This window comes from Homo sapiens, chromosome 7 (genome assembly GCF_000001405.40).
Source record: "Homo sapiens chromosome 7, GRCh38.p14 Primary Assembly".
Taxonomy (NCBI): Eukaryota; Metazoa; Chordata; class Mammalia; order Primates; family Hominidae; genus Homo; species Homo sapiens.
The window spans coordinates 148,777,523-148,795,758 of record NC_000007.14 but is presented as its reverse complement, the minus strand read 5'-3'; the positions used below and the strand labels follow the sequence as shown (position 1 = coordinate 148,795,758).

The following is an 18,236-nucleotide window of genomic DNA, read 5'->3' as shown; positions in this document are numbered from 1 at the left end:
TTGCTCTGTCGCCCAGGCTGGAGTGCAGTGGCGCAATCAGGGCTCACTGCAAGCTGCGCCTCCTGGGTTCACACCATTCTCTCGCCTCAGCCTCCCGAGTAGCTGGGACTACAGGCACCTGCCACCACGCCCGGCTAATTTTGTTTTTGTATTTTTAGTAGAGACTGGGTTTCACCATGTTAGCCAGGATGGTCTCGATCTCCTGACCTCGTGATCCGCCCGCCTCGGGCTCCCAAAGTGCTGGGATTACAGGCGTGAGCCACCACACCCTGCGGTACTTAGTTGTACTTCTATACATTAGCAACGAGCAATCAGAAAGTGGAACAGGCTGGCATGGTGGCTCATGCCTGTGTAATCCCAGCACTTTGGGAGGCCAAGGTGAAAGTGTCACTTGAGCCCAGGAGTTCAAGACCAATCTGGGCAACACAGTGAAACACCATCTCTACAAAAAATACAAAAATTAGCTGAGCATGGTGGCAAGCGCCTGTAGTGCCAGCTACTCAGGAGGCTGAGGAGAGAGGATCATTTGATACCGCAGTGAGCTATGACTGCACCATTGCACTCCAGCCTGAGCAAGAGACCCTGTCTCAAAAAAACAGAAAAAAGTGAAATTAAGAAAACAACTCTGCCAGGCACGGTGGCTCACGCCTATAATCCCAGCACTTTGGGAGGCCGAGGCAGGCAGATCACTTGAGGTCAGGAGTTCAAGACCAGCCTGGTCAACATGGTGAAACCCTGTCTGTACTAAAAATACAAAAAATTAGCCAGGCATGGTGGCGCACGCCTGTAATCCCAGCTACTTGGGAGGCTGAGGTGGGAGAATTGCTGGAACCCAGGAGGCGGAGGTTGCAGTGAGCCAAGATTGCACCACTGCACTCCAGCCTAGGAGACAGAGCAAGACTCCGTCTCAATTAAAAAACTAAAAACCAATTCCATTTATAATAGCATCAAAAAGAATAAACTAGGAATAAATTGAAAGTAGTAGAAGATGCATACACTGAAAACCATGAGACACAGTTGAAAGAAAAGACAACCTAAATAGATGAAAAGACATCCCATGTTCATGGAGTGGGAGACTTAAAATACTGCTGAGATGGCAATACTCCCCAAAGCAATCTATAGATTCAGTGCAATCCTTATCAAAATCTCAACTGCACTTTTTGTAGAAATGGACAAGCTGATCTTGAAATTCATAAGGTAACATAAGGGATCCAGAATAGCCAATATAATCTTGGGGGAAAATAAAACGAAGTTAGGGGTCTCGATTTCAAGATTTACTGCAAAACAACAGTAATCCAGACAGTGTGATACTGGCATAGTAAAGATATACAGATCACTGGAAAATAATTGAGAATCCAGAAATAAACCCATATATACCTATGGCCAACTGACTTTTGACAAGTTTGCCAGCACCAAACAATAGGGAGAGAATAGTCCTTGGCCTCAGACTAGGCAATGATTCCTTAAAAATGACACCAAAACCACAAACAATATAAAGAAAAAATAGATAAAATAGGCTTCATCAAAATTAAAAATGTGTGTATATAAGAAAGTAAGAAGACAACCCACAGAATGGGAAAAAACATTTGTAAATTACATATTTGATAAGGATCTAGTATACAGAATATTAAAAGAATTCTTACGACTCAACAACAAAAAGACAAATAACCCAACTGAAAAATGGGCAAAGAATTTGATCAAACATTTCTCCAAAGAAGATATACAAATGGCAATAAACACAAAAAAGATTCTACACATCATTAGTTGTTAGAGAAATGCAAGTCAAAAACTGCAAGATACTACTTCACATCCACTGGGATGGCTATAATTTTTTTTAAAAATGAAAATAACAAATGTTGGTGAGGATATGGAGAAACTGAAAGTTTCATACACTGTTGGTGAGAATATGAAATGGCACAGCCACTATGGAACAGTCTGGCAGTGCCTCAAAAAATTCAGCTATTACATGACTCAGCAATTCTATACCTAGGTATATACCCAGGAAAATTGAAAACATGTATTCACAGCAGCATTGTTCATAATTGGAAACAACTTAAATGTACATCAACTGATGAACAAATAAAATGTGGTCCATCTATACATTGGATTATTCGACCACAAAAAGAAATGAAGTACCAACACATGCTAGAACATGGGCAAACCTTGCAAACAGTATACACTGAGGGAAAGAAGGCAGGCACAGAAAGTCATGTGTTATATGATTCCATTTATATGAAATGTCTGGAGTAGGCAAATTGATAGCAAATTAATGGTTGTCAGGGGCTGGGAGCTAGCGGGCAGTTACTGCTAATGGGTGCAGGTTTCTTTTTGGGGTGATAAAACACTCTGGAATTGGATAATGGTGGTAGTTCTATAAGCTTGTGAATATACTAAAAACCACTTTGTACACTTTAAAATGACTTTTATGTTATGTCAAATTTTATTATCTAAAATATATCTCAATAAAAAATATGGCTAGCAGGAAAAATAATACTAAAGTGGAAATTTAAGCTTAGTAAGAAAAGCCTAACTGGTTAAATGAATGAGAGAAAAGCATGGATGAGGAGTATGTGTGTGTGTGTTACACGTAGTTTTATTTTTAAGAGACAGGGTCTCTGTCACCCACGCTGGAGTACAGTGGCACGATCATAGCTCACTGCAGCCTCGACCTCCCAGGCTCAAGTGATCCTCCCGCCCCAGCCTCCCAAGAAGCTGGGACTACAGGCATGTGCCACCATGCCTGGCTCAACAATGAGTTTTAACATGAAGCTTTTTGTAGTGCGTATTAAAATCCTGGAATAAGGCCATATTCATATTCATGAGGCAAACATCTATTTCAAATTAAAGATGCCCATATCCTCTTCCTTATCTTTCCTAACAATATCCACGAGAACAAGGAAACGGCAAGCTGATAGAACAACGAGCCTGAGATGAGAATACCATTTTAATTTGAGTGCTGTCGGTCAGCTGCTGCACAGTGTAGGCATCTTCCGTGTTGTACTGAAGCAGGATAGCCATCTGGAATGTCGACGCCTTTGCGGCCCCCCATATAAAAGAAAAAGAAGGAAAATTTACATGCATGGAAACACCTCCCAAAATATACAGCCCAAGTTTGAAGAACTTATTTATGAAACAAATTCTTTAAACAAGTACAAAAAAAGCACAGATCTATTTAAAAGGGAATATAAAACGTGGCAATGCCACTACAATGCAACATTTTCCCAAAGTCATTCATTTTCCATGTTTACAAACATTAAAATAATTTGAGGGTTTTTTTTAAAAAACGTATTGTCTATGTGGATACATACTATAGATACGTCCCCACGCATTTATAGAGACAATCACATATACACACACCTGGTATATATGGACATGTTAAGCATCAATCTCCAAATCTGTTTTTGGCACATGAGCTAAGGAATATTATCTTTTGGCACATTATTGATGTAAAACAACACAAATATCAAATTATATTTGGTTTTCTAATCCTAAGTACTTTACTATGAAAGTATGAAAAAAGTAAGTAAAGTATGAAATGGCAAGTGTACTAAATTTCTATTTTTTTTTTTTTTTGAGACAAAGTCTTGCTCTGTCACCCAGGCTGGAGTGCAGTGGCACAATCTCGACTCACTGCAACCTCCGCCTCCCAGGTTCAAGGGATTCTCCTGCCTTGGCCTCCAGAGTAGCTGGGGCTATAGGCGTGCACCACCACACCCAGCTAATTTTTGTATTTTAGTAGAGATGGGGTTTCGCCATGCTGGCCAGGCTGGTCTCGAACTCCTGACCTTGTGATCTGCCTGCCTTGGCCTCCCAAAGTGCTAGGATTACAGGCTGAGCCACTGCACCCGGCCCTAAAGTATCTTCTAAAAGACAGGTAGCACGTGTTGGTTCCTGATTGCTGAGTGTGTGCAAGCGAATGAACACCCCGAGGACGCCTTCCTTCTCTTCTCCCTGTTTTCTTGCATAATCGACAGCAACAAGTAATGACCCATGACTGTCAGTCACTGCTTGCCTCTCGGCAAGACCTTGGTCAATGGAAAGAGAAACAAAAAACGCCACATGCCTGTTTCAGGGCGGCCCACAGACAACACTGCTTCCAGGGCCTTGAACAGAGATACAAGGGAACGAGCGTGTTGCTAATGTTTTCTATTGGGCCCGCTCCGGGCTGCCTTAACACGGCAGACACACCCTAGGCAAAGCCTCCACCGTCAAAAACTGGACACTGAAATTCCAGGTACTGTAGTGGAACACATGGATTCTTCTATGTATATTTGGGGATAAATGAAACAAAATTTCAATTGTATAGTAAGAAACATTCAAGTTGATAAAGACCTCTGGAGCCAGCATAATACTATGCATTTTAACAATTTTAAGTCACAGTAGATTTACGAAAAGTTTAAATTAATGAGCAGCTTGAGTCTGCAGAACAACCCATTCTGGAGTTTCTTAATACTTAAACACAGATTTGCAATTCTTCTTAGAAACTCACTGGTGAAAACTTCTCAGAGACTAAAATATGCCATTACTTGTGAAGACCACTCAGTACAAAAGTGGAAGTAGAAAGAGCTTGGACTTTTTTTTCTTTTTACTTTAAAAAATATCTAGAGATGGGGTCTTGCTATGTTGTCCAGGCTTGTCTCAAACTCCTAGCCTCAAGTGATTCTCTGGTCTCAGCCTCCCAAAGCGTGAGGATTACAAGCGTGAGCCACCACACCAGCCCAAGCCTAGACTTTAAGAGAAAAGACTTTAACTGAAATTTTGGCTCAGCTACATATAAGCTAGGATTCAGAGAAATTCACTTAAATTAACCCAAGCCTCAGTTTTCTCCTCTAAGAAATGGAAATATTCTTAGTTACATAGGTATAAATTAGGTTGTACTCAATATTGTTGTCAGCACTGAGTGTTATTAATGTGAAAGTGCTCTGTGTAAGGTGGAGAGCTGATATAATGAAATGCATGCAACTCCAGCTTTTGAAGTCACTACCTGAACAGCTGATGTGTGTCAGGCAGGAGCGGTGCCAAACACTTACTAAATACATTATTTAATTTTCACATCAATTCCCAACTATAAAGTACTAACACTCCCATTAATGGAGGAGAAAACTGAGGCTCACAATCATTAAATAACTTGCTCCCCAGCCAGAAAGAATTGGAATTTGGTTCATCTGATTCTTACAACTCCATGCTTTAAACCTGCCACTATTTCACCAGAAGCTGAATTCTAGATTCTGCTGCTGAGTCAGCTGATAATGATTTCCATAATTTGCCTTATGTTCATTTAGAATAGAAAAATTTTAAGATAAAAATGTGATCTTACCTGCAAAGTATATCTGTTTTTGAAGCAGTTAGTTACCAATTCTCCTTTAGACAACTGATATAACCACGTCAATTTTCGGCCACTGTGGCGGCTGGCGTAGAAAGCTGTGAATCGCTGATAACTACGTTCCAACTAGATAAAAGGACAGCATTATATGGAATACAGATCTCACCACATCCTACAGGCAGCGTTTCTAAGTAAAGCCCACTGTTCCAAGCTTACAGTACAAAGTCAGTGCTTACATAAAAGTAAAATACAAACGCCAGGTGTCTGCCTCTCTTGTAAAGCACTTTAAGCACTGGAAGGTACAATCTTAAAAAAGGTTTGTACTTCAAGACCAGCAGGTCCATCGAGGTGTTCATTACACAACTAATTAGGTTCTGCTTTACAAGATAAGGAAACATGTCTGTAGAGCTGGGACAGACAGCCCACCTTTAGACATCCAGACCTGCCCCACTGCACAGGGCTCTTCCCTGAGTGTTGCCCCCATGGTTCACCGTGATGCAGCCAGCCAGCAGGAAGGCCATCTGCAGGCCTGTCCCCTTCCACAGTGAAGGCTGCCCTGCCCCACCCTCCACTTAGCACTAATGGGATGGCAGACAAACCCATCCTTACCTCTGACGGCAAGGCAAATGTACAAGACTGCTGGAAGGGCCAGGACCCGGAGCTCAGCACTTGAATGCTGAAATCCACTGTGGGACGGAAGAGAGGGGAGAGTGAACATTCTGGAATACATTAATTAGTTTATAAACTGAAAAATTCAATCATTTCAGATGAATGTGGATTGCTCTTTATTAAAAAGCACATTAAATAAAAATCCTGCTTGAATATAAAATTAAGAATTGAACATTTTATTCAATTAAAATTAGCAAAAAGTGCAAGAGCCAGATACTCTTTTCTTCCAAAGAGTGAGAGTCTTCATTTTGCTTCCACCTCGGAATTCTGCTGTCACACGCCTGCCCTGCTTCCCTTGCTTTCCTTTTCTGTCCTGAATCACTCAGTCCACTCAAGCCACGCCTGTGCTTGCCAGGCCCGGCATCATCACAGCCCCAGACTCATGCAAACTCACAAGCAGGAGAAAACCGCTAACTTCATTATAGTGTATGTTTCACTTATTACTGGGAAACGCCACACATGGTCTATAAATTATAACAGTAATTTCATCTTCGCAGATAGTTAAAAAGCCCACTGGCAAAACTGTCCAGTTTTACAATAGAATTGTCATTCTGATTTGGGAAAAATAAAATTCTCCATTTTTCATTTAAAAAGACAAAGATGATCAAAAGATGATGTAAGCATAAATCCGCCATCCTACTACTATGCAAGGCCCTAAAATACCAGCCCAGCTGCCTCTCCTGGAGAACTGAATCACCTGCACCTGCCTGTACTGATCCCTAATCCCAGTCTGAAGCCACAGGTCTTTAGCTTGACTGTTACCTATGCAGGCCAAGTGAACATTAAAATAAATGCTAGAATGGATCCAAGCTAAGGTTTACAAGACAAAACCACGCCTGTGAGTCCCTCCCCAGATCCCAACAGGTGGTGACCTTGCCCCAGTAGAGCTGACACCACTTCAAGGGTTGTCATCTCCTAATGTCACACGGGAGTCGGGGGAGGAGGGCTGGGCATTTGGGAGGAATCTCCCGCTTCTTAGTTCTTGAATTTCTGACAAAGCCCCTCCCATCTTCACCTAATATTTTGTCATTTCTTCATTTGCTACAGAGAACTCTGCCTGTAAACACAACATAGAGACACACGGATACTCACAGTCTAGGGGTTCTGAGTTTGTCAAGTGCTTTTTGAATTGCTCGTTCAGATCTTTGCTCACGCCAATGTCTTGAAACATGCGCTGAAGTTTAGAGGTGTACTCGAACCCGCAAGCTTGCTGAGAAGAACCCAGATGACTGTCTTATTAATTTGTACAAAAATACAAATGTATACAAGGGAATCTTAGAGAAATCAGAGTATACAATATATACTTAATTATATGGAACTACTAGCAAAGCTAGTAACATTTTGCTATATTTTACAGTACAAATATGCATGGATTAATATTAATACACTGTCAAAAAACCCCACAACTCTATGTTGCACAGTGAAGTGTTCACACACACAATTCATACACAATTTGTGAGCATTTAAGAGCAAGGTGTCCTGACACTGGTAGAATACAATGATGAAATAATCTGTCTCTATCTCTTACCAGAAGCTGAACTGTGTGCCCCCAAAATCCCTATGTTGAAGCCCAAACCTCCAACGTGATGCTGTGTGGAGGTATGCGGTCTTGAGCATGGGGCCTCACAATGGGATTGGTGTGCTTGTAAGAGATGTGCAAGAGCTCTGCACTCTCTCTCTGACACGTGAGGCACTGCAAGAAGGTGGCTGCCTACAAAGCAGGAAGAGGGCCTGCACCAGGAACCGAATCAGCTGGCACCCTGATCTCGGACTTGTGGCCCCCAGAATTGTGAGAAACTATTTCTGTTGTTTAAGCTACCTGGTCTATGGTATTCCGTCATGGCAGCCCACGCTGACAAAGATACCTACATAATTTGGGGCCAAAGTAAAGTATGTCCCAAGTCAGATAAGAGCACTCGACAGCGCCGACACACAGGCACGCAAAGGAGGTGGCAGAGGAAGGGCTGCGTGACAGCAAAGTAACCAAGCCCAGAGCAAACAAAACCTCCACTCAGCTCCAGGCCAGCACAGTGTGGAAGTGTGAATGTGCTGCAAGGCTAAAGGTGTGGGAGGCAGGAGAGGCCCCACAGATGGTGAGCTGAGCCCAGCCAGGCCTGGGTAGGATGGAAGCCCCACAGTGGGGTGGGGAAGGGGTTGGGAAGGCACCGGGGCCCAACGAGAGTAGAGTGATAGTTGTGGGAGGCTTTCAGAAGAGCAGTGGCAGAGCTTCTTGTACAAACCACTGCACAAACTCCTCTGCCTGCCTCATAACCTGGAGAGACTAAGAGCTTTTTTATTTTTTTCTGAGACAGAGTCTCACTCTGTTGCCCAGGCTGGAGTGTAGTGGTGTGATCTCGGCTCACCGCAACCTCTGCCTCCCGGGTTCATGCCATTCTCCTGCCTCAGCCTCCCAAGTAGCTGGGACTACAGGCGCCCACCACCATGCCCGGCTAATGTTTTGTATTTTTAGCAGAGATGGGGTTTCTCCATATTAGCCAGGATGGTCTCGATCTCCTGACCTCGTGATCTGCCCGCCTCGGCCTCCCAAAGTGCTGGGATTACAGGCATGAGCCACCGCGCTCGGCCATAGAGCTGTTTTAATAATGACTCAGAAGCTGGGATTTTTCAGGAAAAGATGAAACTCACCTTTAACTTGGAGATCATGCTGGCTTCGGCATCGTCACTTGCACTGTTCTGGTGGACGAGCCTCTTGGCGAGCATCTTCGCATAGAACTTCTGAAATACGTCTTTGTCTTCTATGTACTTGAAGACAACCATCTGGCAAAGCCACCGAGACAACACACTTAACCAGCACACACACAAGCCAACAGTGCAGAGCTGACTGTCACCGGCCACAAGCCAGGAGCCAAGATGTGCCTTTGGCTTTGGGCAGGTCTGTACGCCAACGTTTATGATGGCAAAATCTCCACTCCAGAGTCTTGAAAGTTTTGTGAGTCCCTTAATTCAGTGAGTTGGACTGACTGAGTATTAATGAGAAAAGTATGAATGCTAAAAGTAGTAACTCAATTTAGGAAGTAAAACCAGAGATTCAAAATAAAATCAATGATTATTACTTTTCACATTTCAGAGGCCATCTACAAATAACATTACAAACAGCTTGTGAAATACACAGCTACTGGAAATGGGTATGCTCATGAAGCACTTACCACTTGATTGAGTGTGTCTTCTAGTTCTGCCTCCTCTGGGTTCTTGGAACTGAAAATTTTAAAAAGATACCATGTTTTAAAACATCAGTACGTTTAAACAAGCACCACTTAGCCAGAATGCAGCTTCAAGCATTCAAAAGATCAGTTCTCATCAGATTAGTGCAGAGGAAGAGGGAAGGTTGACTTTCCTTACCTACAGCAAACTGGCAATCTCATACTGTAACCTCAACACTGAAGAACAGATTATGAAGTAGTCATTTAGAATATCCAAGGTGAAAACCAACAGGAGATATTTATAAAACATTTCCAAAAACATTCTGAAGAAGTTTGCCTTTAAGATAATCCACTTAAACTTCAGTAAAGGAAATTCACTTTACCAATTGCTTTCTAGTCTGCTGTAATTTAACTTTGGAGAAATAAAAAGGCACATAGATTCCCTTTCATGGCCCAGTCATTAAAGATGATGAAGGGGTTTAAATTCCTACTAAACTGCTGCCCTCTGTAGTTGTATATACAAGAGATGATTGTCCTTTAACAACTGATTCATTCTATGAACAAATAATAATTCAAAGGTGAATTAAAGGTAGATGAATTTTTGTACAGGTCTTTTCTACAAGACTGCTTTATAAACAAGACCCCCTAATTCATATAAAACGAATCAGCCACCACAGAAACTCTGAAGAGGTGTCTCCAACTTTAGAAAAGTTGGTTCAGAAAACCCAACCCTATTCTTGGCACTCTTGGGTCAGGGGTGTTCCTCTTCCCTTGGAGCAGTTTAACTTAGTGCCTCCCTGACTCCACTCACCCAACACACGCTCATTAAAGAGGTGCTGTGGAAATGTCTCTGCCATTCTGTCTGCATCAGTGGCCTTAACTAGTATCAGTAGACTTGACGAGGGACATTTATGAAAAGACAAAGGATAAAAAGGACACTAAGGCCAGGTGTGGTGGCTCACACCTGTAATCCCAGCACTTTGGGAGGCTGAGGCGGGTGGATCACTTGAGGTCAGGAGTTCGAGACGAGCCTGGCCAACATGGTGAAACCCTGTCTCTACTAAAAAAAAAAAAAAAAAAAATTAGCCGGGTGTGGTGGCACGCCTGTAGTCCCAGCTGCTCAGGAGGCTAAGGCATGAGAATCACTTAAACTCAGGAGGCAGAGGTTGCAGTGAGCCGAGATTGTGCCACTGCACTCCAGCATGGGCGACAGAGTAAGACTAAGTCTCAAAAAAAAAAGGACACTAAGTGTTCTGTCAAACAAACTGAATGAAGACCCAGTGGAGTATCTCCATAGTCATAACATGCAGCCCCCTAAAATGAAACCAAGTCATCAGAGGCCTTCCAATTTAAAGTCCCCTCTCATTTCTGGAGAGGATCTGATCGCAATTGTTAAATTACACATTAAACCAGGAATAAATACTCCTGTTTATTGCAATAAACAGGAAAAAAAAATCAAACACTCAGAGTTTCTCACTGGCCTTGGGTAAACTGCGTTAAGAGAAAGCTATTGACCTTCATCAAATGTTTTCCCATCATTTACCAAAAAGGTCACATAGTTGGTACATGGTTCTCTGTTAATGTAGTAAATTACATCAGACTTGGTACTGCTGGGTTATCCTTATGTTCCTAGAAAGCTATACTATGTTTTGAAGAATTATTATTTAGTTCACTGGGAAATCTGGCTTGTTAATATTTTACTTAAGATTTCTACAACTCTATTCTCAAGTGACACTTGTTTGTAGTCTTTTCATTCTGGTATGTGGGTATTTCTCGGTCTTTTTTGTATCGGGGTTATGCTAGCCTTCAAGAGCTGTTTAAAATATAATTTATTAATATCAAAACCAATATAATTTTGGCGTGTGGAAAACTATTGCAACAGAAAGCCAGAAGGAGATTAGCTTCCTTCATTAAAATCTTTAAAACTTATTGTTGTGATATCTGAAATAGAGCATTTCTAAACTGAAGGAAACTTAAAGTGAAAGAGAAGCTGAGAAAAACCAGAACACACAAACAAAAAACTCAATGAGAACTTCAAAAAACACACGCAGAGGAGAAAGCTATATATTATATTGCTTCCAGATCTTAATACACATAAATTGATTAGAAAACATCAATTGAGAAATAAGATTCAAAAGTAAAGAATATGAAACAGCAACAAAAACTCATCTAACAAAAATAAATTTAAAACTACACAGAATAACAAAGGCAATCTACGGCCATACCACTCTGAACTGAACGTGCCCGATCTTGTCTGATCTCAGAAGCGAACAGGGTGGGGCCTGGTTAGTGCTTGGATGGAGAATAACCAAAGTCCCACAATACATTGAGACATTTCTGTTTGAAAAACAGCCAGTGGGAGGGAATGCAGATTTTCAACGGCAAGGACGATTATGTTTAAGCATTTTTCTCATAAGGTACAAAAATTCCAATTTAATGTATGTAAAATGTAATGTAGGTTTTAATTCCTCATATAAAAGCTGAGATTTTAAACAGGCATACTAAGAAAACATAGGGTCATTTAATACCTTTTCTTCAACAAGGAGTCACAGTATCGAGCCAGCAACTCAGGGGATTTACTGGATGATTGGGCCATCTTGGTAACCGCGTTGTTGTTTATGAAGCGACCACAAGCCTGCGTTACACGGAATATAGTTAGAGACAAACGCCCCATCCATACATACTACAGGCAAGTCACAACCCTCACGCACCTACCTTATCAAGAGCAGCCACAAAGCCAGCGTCATTGTTGAATGCAGACATTACCAGGGCATTGTATTTTTTATGAACATCAAGCACTGTCTGTACATACATTTTGGGGTCCTTAAATGGGGGCAGAAATAGAAACAAAAGTTGGTTATTGGGGATTAAATTGTGTATTAAGGTATACAATGCATGTACTAGCATACAAAATATTCTAAAAGCTATAGATACCTTTTCAAAGTTAAGAGATAAGAGCAAGAAATACTTTTGGTACCATCGTTGAAACACATAGGACATTTTGTTTATATATATAAAAGAAAAAACAATCTATTCTCCACACTCAAAACTAAATATTGATTCCGAGCTTGCATTAAAAACAGTGAAAACTCAAAGAGATCATGAAAACAGCATTTTCCAAGTGACAGTTCTGCTTTGCCAATTCCTCCTTGTTAAACAGTGGAACTCTGGACTCTGTTTCAGCTGGAGAAGGCGTTTAGCCGCCGAGGTCGGTCATCAGCCCGGCTGGGCAGGCAACGCGAGGGAAAGCGGGGCTCAGGGCGGGAGTCTGACTGCGGCCCCCACCCACTGCAAACCAGAGGCGCGGATCCGCGTGGCGATGCCGGGGGCCAGGGCCTCATCGCAGGACGGGAAGAGGGGCGGAGCGCGGCGCAGGGCAGCAAAGGGGCCTCCCCGGAACAAGGAACAACATGGAAATGCAACGGGAAGGCTGGCCGCAGAGGCTCCTGTGGCCAAAGGAAGGCGGCGACAATGGAAGGCAAAGGAGACGGAGCTAAGTGCTAATGAGAAAAACAGCGCTGCTGCTAGGCATGCAGCGCACGCCGCCACCACCCTTCATGAGACCGCGAAAGCCCACACTGGGCAGCAGGTGCTGTTTTCATCCCCATTCTACAGACGTAGAAACTGTCACAGCTAAGCACACTGCCAGGAAATGGTGGCAGGCACAGGCTTGGCTCCGGGCTGCGAGGGAGCCCGGCTGGGAAGGTTGGTGGGAGGGAGCTCCGGGTCACCCCCAGCCAAGCACAGATCCAGGCGCCGCGGCACGCCCATGTTTCCACATCACGATACATTAATCTGCAGGGCTCAGGTGCCAGAAATCAGCATTCCCAATTCTACCTATTCTGCATTTTTTATAACATTTGATTTACTTGTTTTTAAATAACAATGAGTATCAGTAAGGATGAATGATTTTTCTGCAACAGGGTTACACTTAAGAGTGTCAGAAGTTTCCTGTTAAAAAAAGCTCTATATAATAAATGCAAGGTTTATTATGAATATATTGTGCTAAGTTCAATAAGATATAAATATGGTCTCCACCTGACATAAACATTTGATAAGAGAAAACATTAAAAGGGAACTTAATGCAAAATAATTGCCAAATAAAAATCACTTAATATTGAAAGGCAGTATTGCAGATATTTAATATTTTAAAATTACCATCTTAAAAATGTTAAAACACACAGAGCGTGAACTGCACTACCAGATAGCCTTGCTCTTTGTTTCATGGCTATCCCAGACGTAGGGAAACTTCTTCCACTTTGCCTGGATGGTCTTAATCTTCAGAGTGAACCAAAAGCACCTCCAAGTTGGGCCATATCTTACTTCATATAAGCTTGCTTCTTTTAAACAATGAAAATATTTTCTGCTTGACCTAATTGTGGTTTTGTCACTGAAATAGATATTGCTTCTGCCAATTCAGATTTTAGATCACTTTCAGATTTCATGTCAAATTATTCCAGAACATTCACATATTCTTCTCTCTGCCTTCCTTCTGTTACAGTATTTACAAAGTGCTCCAGCCTACAGCGAGGATTCAAACACTGGAAAATGCTAGAAACGCTATTGGGTAGTTTTCGAATACGGTAACATGCAGGATCCTTAACAAGTTAACGGCCCTACAAAGAACTGCGTGTCACAACTGCCAATTGAAGGACTCAATTTGCTTCCAAAACTTGCTATTTTTTTGGAAGACCCCTCACAGGGTTTATATATAGCATGTTATGTATATAAATATTAATACTTATTTTATTTGCAAGAATGACTTCACCCTTAGCAGCAGAGGGGCTACAGATCCACACTTAGAAGGCCTTGCCCACCTGGCAGCCTGACCACTCGGCCTGCACGGCTTCCCTGCCACACGCCTTCACCCTCATTCCCGAAAACGCCAGCCTCAACTTACTCACGCTCTTGCTTGCGACTTGTCATTGGTGGACTCCTCTGAACCAGTGATGTCTCTATGTTGACTATAACGTTTCCAAATTATAATACTTTTCTGTATTTTCTCAAAATGTTTTGGCCATTTTTCCTCAGATTTGTAATTTGGAAAAATACCAATTTCCCAAGGAATGCCAGGAACAACTTCTCACATGGAAAGCCAAATCTCCAGGAGTAAAGAAGTCTTCAGACTCCAATTCCAAAATTCTTTCAACTACAGCAGTCTGGCTGGTGAGATGGGAGGACTTGCATGGAACCTACTAAAGGAAAAGTGTCAAAACACTGGCCTTGGCCGGGCGCGGTGGCTCATGCCTGTAATCCCAGAACTTTGGGAGGCGTAGGCGGGCAGATCATGACGTCAGGAGTTCTAGACCAGCCTGGCCAACATGGTGAAACCCCATCTCTACTAAAAATACAAAAAAATCAGCTGAGGGTGGTGGCAGGCGCCTATAATCCCAGCTACTCGGGAGGCTGAGGCAGGAGAATCGCTTGAACCGGGAGATGGAGGATGCAGTGAGCCGAGATCGCGCCACTGCATTCCAGCCCAGGTGACGGTGCGAGACTCTGTCAAAAAAAAAAAAAAAAAAAAAATCTGGCCTTGAAAATGTGAATTTAGCATTTGAGGTTCAGAGAAAAGCCATTTAGGAACTGGTCAAGAAGCAGACAACACACTAGAATAATATACGGGAGAGAATTTTAAGGAACTAGTCAGCAAATAGAGAAAAGATGTTCAAAAGGGGAGTAGATTTAGCATTCAGGAGGTAAACAACGAAGACAGGTTATAAAACAGAGAGGAGAGAGATCAGCTGGATCAAATGGATGTTTTTTCAAGAAAGCAAAGAACAAAGGTTTGAGGTTTAAAAAAATAAAGTAGTAATGGGTTTGATTCAGGACCCTCTGTGTATTCACGAGAGCTTTTCACATGTAAGAAACAGGACATCTCCCAGGGCTTGTCCCTAAGGGCTCATTCAACTCCTATATGATTTCAGTTGTTGTTATACCTAGGACGGACACATTCACATCCACACCAAACTTCCCCCAGGTGAGCCCGTGTGGCCTGCCCTGGGCTATCATGGGATTTCCAAAGCCTATGTCACGAATGGCCTGATCTGCTCCCCAGTCCTGTGTTCTCTGGAGCTCTTCTCGGCAAGTGCCACCACTCACCCAGCGGCTCGAGCCAGGCACCCAGGACTCAGTTCCTGCTTTCCGACTCATGAATCCTGTGAATCCACTCAATCCATACAACCCGTCCATTTCTTTTCAACGTTTTATTGTGGAAAAAATTCAAATATATTCACAATTAGAAAGAGTAGTAAAACTTACCCCATGTACTCATCATTCAGTTTTAACAAATATCGAAACACAAAACCTGTCCATTACAAAGCCAGTGTCTCTGCATCATTCTTCTCTCCATTCCCCGCACGACCAGCCCAGTCTCCAGTGGGCCACTATCACTATCTGAACCACGACAACAAACCTAACTAACCTAACTGGTATACTTGTGTGTTAGTCAAGGTTCCCTAGAAGGACAGAACTAACAGGAGATATATATATATACGGGAGTTTATTAAGTATTAACTTACACAATCACAAGGTCCCACAATAGGCTATCTGCAAGCTCGAGGAGCAAGGAGAGCCAGTCTAAGTCCCAAAACTGAAGAACCTGGAGTCTGACGTTCGAGGGCAGGAAGCATCCAGCATAGGAGAAAGATGTAGGCTGGGAGGCCAGGCCAGTCTCGCCTTTTCACGTTTTTCTGCCTGCCTTATATTCGCTGGCAGCTGATTAGATTGTGCCCACCAGATTGAGGGTGGGTCTGCCTTTCCCAGCCCACTGACTCAAATGCTAATCTCCTTTGCCAACACCCTCACAGACACACCCAGGATCAATACTTTGCATCCTTCAATCCAATCAAGTTGACACTCAATATTAATCATCACAACTTGTAACAACTCTTCTTCCTTTTCACCCACTTTCTACATGGCAGCAAGCACATATATCCCGTCGATTCCATGACTGTATCACTCTCCGTTGGTTTCCTCTTGCACCCTCAGGATTAAGCCAATATCATCAATACAGCTTTCAAGGTTTTCCCTGGTCTGGCCAGCCCATGCTGCCTTCTTCGTTCTTAGAATGGGCTGTGTGTACGCCCACTGAGGGGCTTTGTTGTGTCTGGGATCCCCCTTTGCCTAGCTAGCTCTAACTCTTTTCTCCATCTCAAACACTTTTTTCAGGGATGCTTTCTCTGAATTTCCAAGATAGGCCGAGGCTGCCCTGTTAAGACTTCCCAAACCCCATCCCAACACTAATCACACCTGCCAATTCCTTGCTGGGTACATCTCAGTGTTGCCCACTGGGACCGTGTCTGCCTGCTACCACTGCCGTACTTCTAAGTACCTAGTGAAGTGGCATTCATCAAATAATCTCCTAAATGGCTAAACCAGGAACATAATGATAATCACAACTGAATTGCGACCTTTTATTCCATACATTTCCACTAAAAGGATAATTCTAAAGGCCAATTTCACGAAGAGAAAATCACGTTAAGAGTCTCACATAACTTTTTATCTTACTCTTTCTTAAAAAGGTAAACCGAATATGGCATACAAGAGGTGTGAGGGCATCATCTCATGGAGAGCTGGTATATATTTACACACAATTTCTGGGGATCAGTTGTGGTGCTAAGTGATACTTTAACACTCGAACACTTCCTAGTAACCCAGCACCATTCAAGAATATTGCTAAAGAGGAATAATGGGGTGCTACAGGCTCGAGGGGAGCATCCTTCACCATTTCATCTACATAAACTGGTGCTCTCCAGGCTGAGGGGACAGATCTGACAGTCCGTGGAAAGCTGCTCTTGCCTACACTACCTCTGAGGGTACATTCAGCCTCCACATCTTTCATCCAGCCAGGGGCTAAAGAGAGCAGATCAATTACAAGAGCTTTAGGAGAGTTCCCTGAGGACAGGCAGTCAACAAGAACAGATCAACCTCAGGACACCAGGACCTGGCTTGACACTGTCCACAGTCTTACCTCTAGATAATTTTTCCTTAAAAAGGGGAGAGAAATGAGGCCCCACTAAGTAACAAAAACATATCGTGCAGTTGTTTGGGGGCAGTGTCATTCTTCCCATTAGCATCAGCACTTGGTCTTCAAGTAACATTATCTCCATGCAAAACACAGAGAAGCAAAGGCTTCAGAAATAAAACCATAGAGAGTATGTGTGCAGACCATGCACTTGGACCATTATCTGGGAAGGTGCTCAATGGTATCCCCACCACCCAGCATGGTTCTGAGGTTCCCACCACTACCAGTCTGTGCGTGCTCAGGGGAAAACATTAATTTTGATATTAATAGGCAAAAAAAGGGGGACATAAATGTTAGATCTCAAAAATCATTTAGAAATAATCTTGCATTTTCTTAATAGGCCTTTTCTACTGTATCATCTCACCTCTTTCAATAAGCAGAAACCAACAGTTCTTCAGATGGAGCATGGTTTAAAGTTTAAAATACTGAGACAAAAACACTAACAATTCAGTAAGTGCTCTCTTTCCTCATTCTTCTTCTTCTTCTTTTTTTTTTTTTTTTTTTTTTTTTTTGAGACAGGGTCTTCTTCTGTCACCCTGGCAGGAGTGCAGGAGTGCAGTGGCATGATCTCGGCTCACTGCAACCTCTGCCTCCCTGGTTCAAGTGACTCTTCTGCCTCAGCCTCCCAAGTAGCTGAGATTACAGGTGCATGCCATGACACCCAGCTAATTTTATCTTTAGTAGAGACGGGATTTCACCATGTTGGCCAGACTGGTCTCAAACTCCTGACCTCAGGTGATCCACCCGACTCAGCCTCCCAAAATGCTGGGATTACAGGCATCACCCACCGTGCCTGACCTTCATTATTTTCATGGTGATGTCCTGGCAATGTTAAACAATGCCAGCAAGAAAATGCTCCTCCCCCAAAGCCTCTATTGGTCTAAATTCAAAAATGTTGCTGCAGTTGCCCCTGGATTTCAGGGGCACGTAGGATTGGAATGAGCACATTTTAAGTCTTCCCTTTACTACGCATCATATGACTACATGAGAGTTAATTTGGAGAACTCTCCAACACGTGCAGACTCAGGTAAAACATTTGTTTGAAGAGGGAGTTCCTCTG

General features: G+C 42.8%; 1 protein-coding gene across 6 annotated transcripts in view, besides 2 other annotated features; it reads right to left on the bottom strand.

Annotated features, from left to right (window-relative positions):
- The window catches only part of CUL1 (cullin 1), a 103,355-nt gene that overhangs the window by 5,352 nt on the left and 79,767 nt on the right, over positions 1-18,236 (bottom strand). For all 6 annotated transcript variants that reach the window (NM_001370660.1, NM_001370661.1, NM_001370662.1 and 3 more), the window contains exons 10-17: positions 11,869-11,976; positions 11,682-11,788; positions 9,160-9,208; positions 8,639-8,770; positions 7,085-7,202; positions 5,933-6,009; positions 5,318-5,449; positions 2,941-3,033 (exon numbers count right to left, since the gene is read on the bottom strand). In NM_001370660.1, coding sequence (NP_001357589.1) covers positions 2,941-3,033; positions 5,318-5,449; positions 5,933-6,009; positions 7,085-7,202; positions 8,639-8,770; positions 9,160-9,208; positions 11,682-11,788; positions 11,869-11,976 — 816 coding nt within the window. The remainder of the gene's footprint in view (positions 1-2,940; positions 3,034-5,317; positions 5,450-5,932; positions 6,010-7,084; positions 7,203-8,638; positions 8,771-9,159; positions 9,209-11,681; positions 11,789-11,868; positions 11,977-18,236) is intronic.
- Positions 11,227-12,426: an enhancer, noted in NCBI's record as "MED14-independent group 3 enhancer chr7:148480425-148481624 (GRCh37/hg19 assembly coordinates)". NCBI's record gives its function as "activates an origin of replication core promoter dependent on BRD2, BRD4, P300/CBP and CDK7 cofactors, and independent of MED14, by STARR-seq in HCT116 cells {active_cell/tissue: HCT116}" and the evidence as "EXISTENCE:reporter gene assay evidence [ECO:0000049][PMID:35650434]".
- Positions 12,627-13,329: an enhancer, noted in NCBI's record as "H3K27ac-H3K4me1 hESC enhancer chr7:148479522-148480224 (GRCh37/hg19 assembly coordinates)". NCBI's record gives its function as "activates a minimal SCP1, AML or CMV promoter by ChIP-STARR-seq in primed H9 embryonic stem cells {active_cell/tissue: H9 hESC(primed)}" and the evidence as "EXISTENCE:reporter gene assay evidence [ECO:0000049][PMID:30033119]".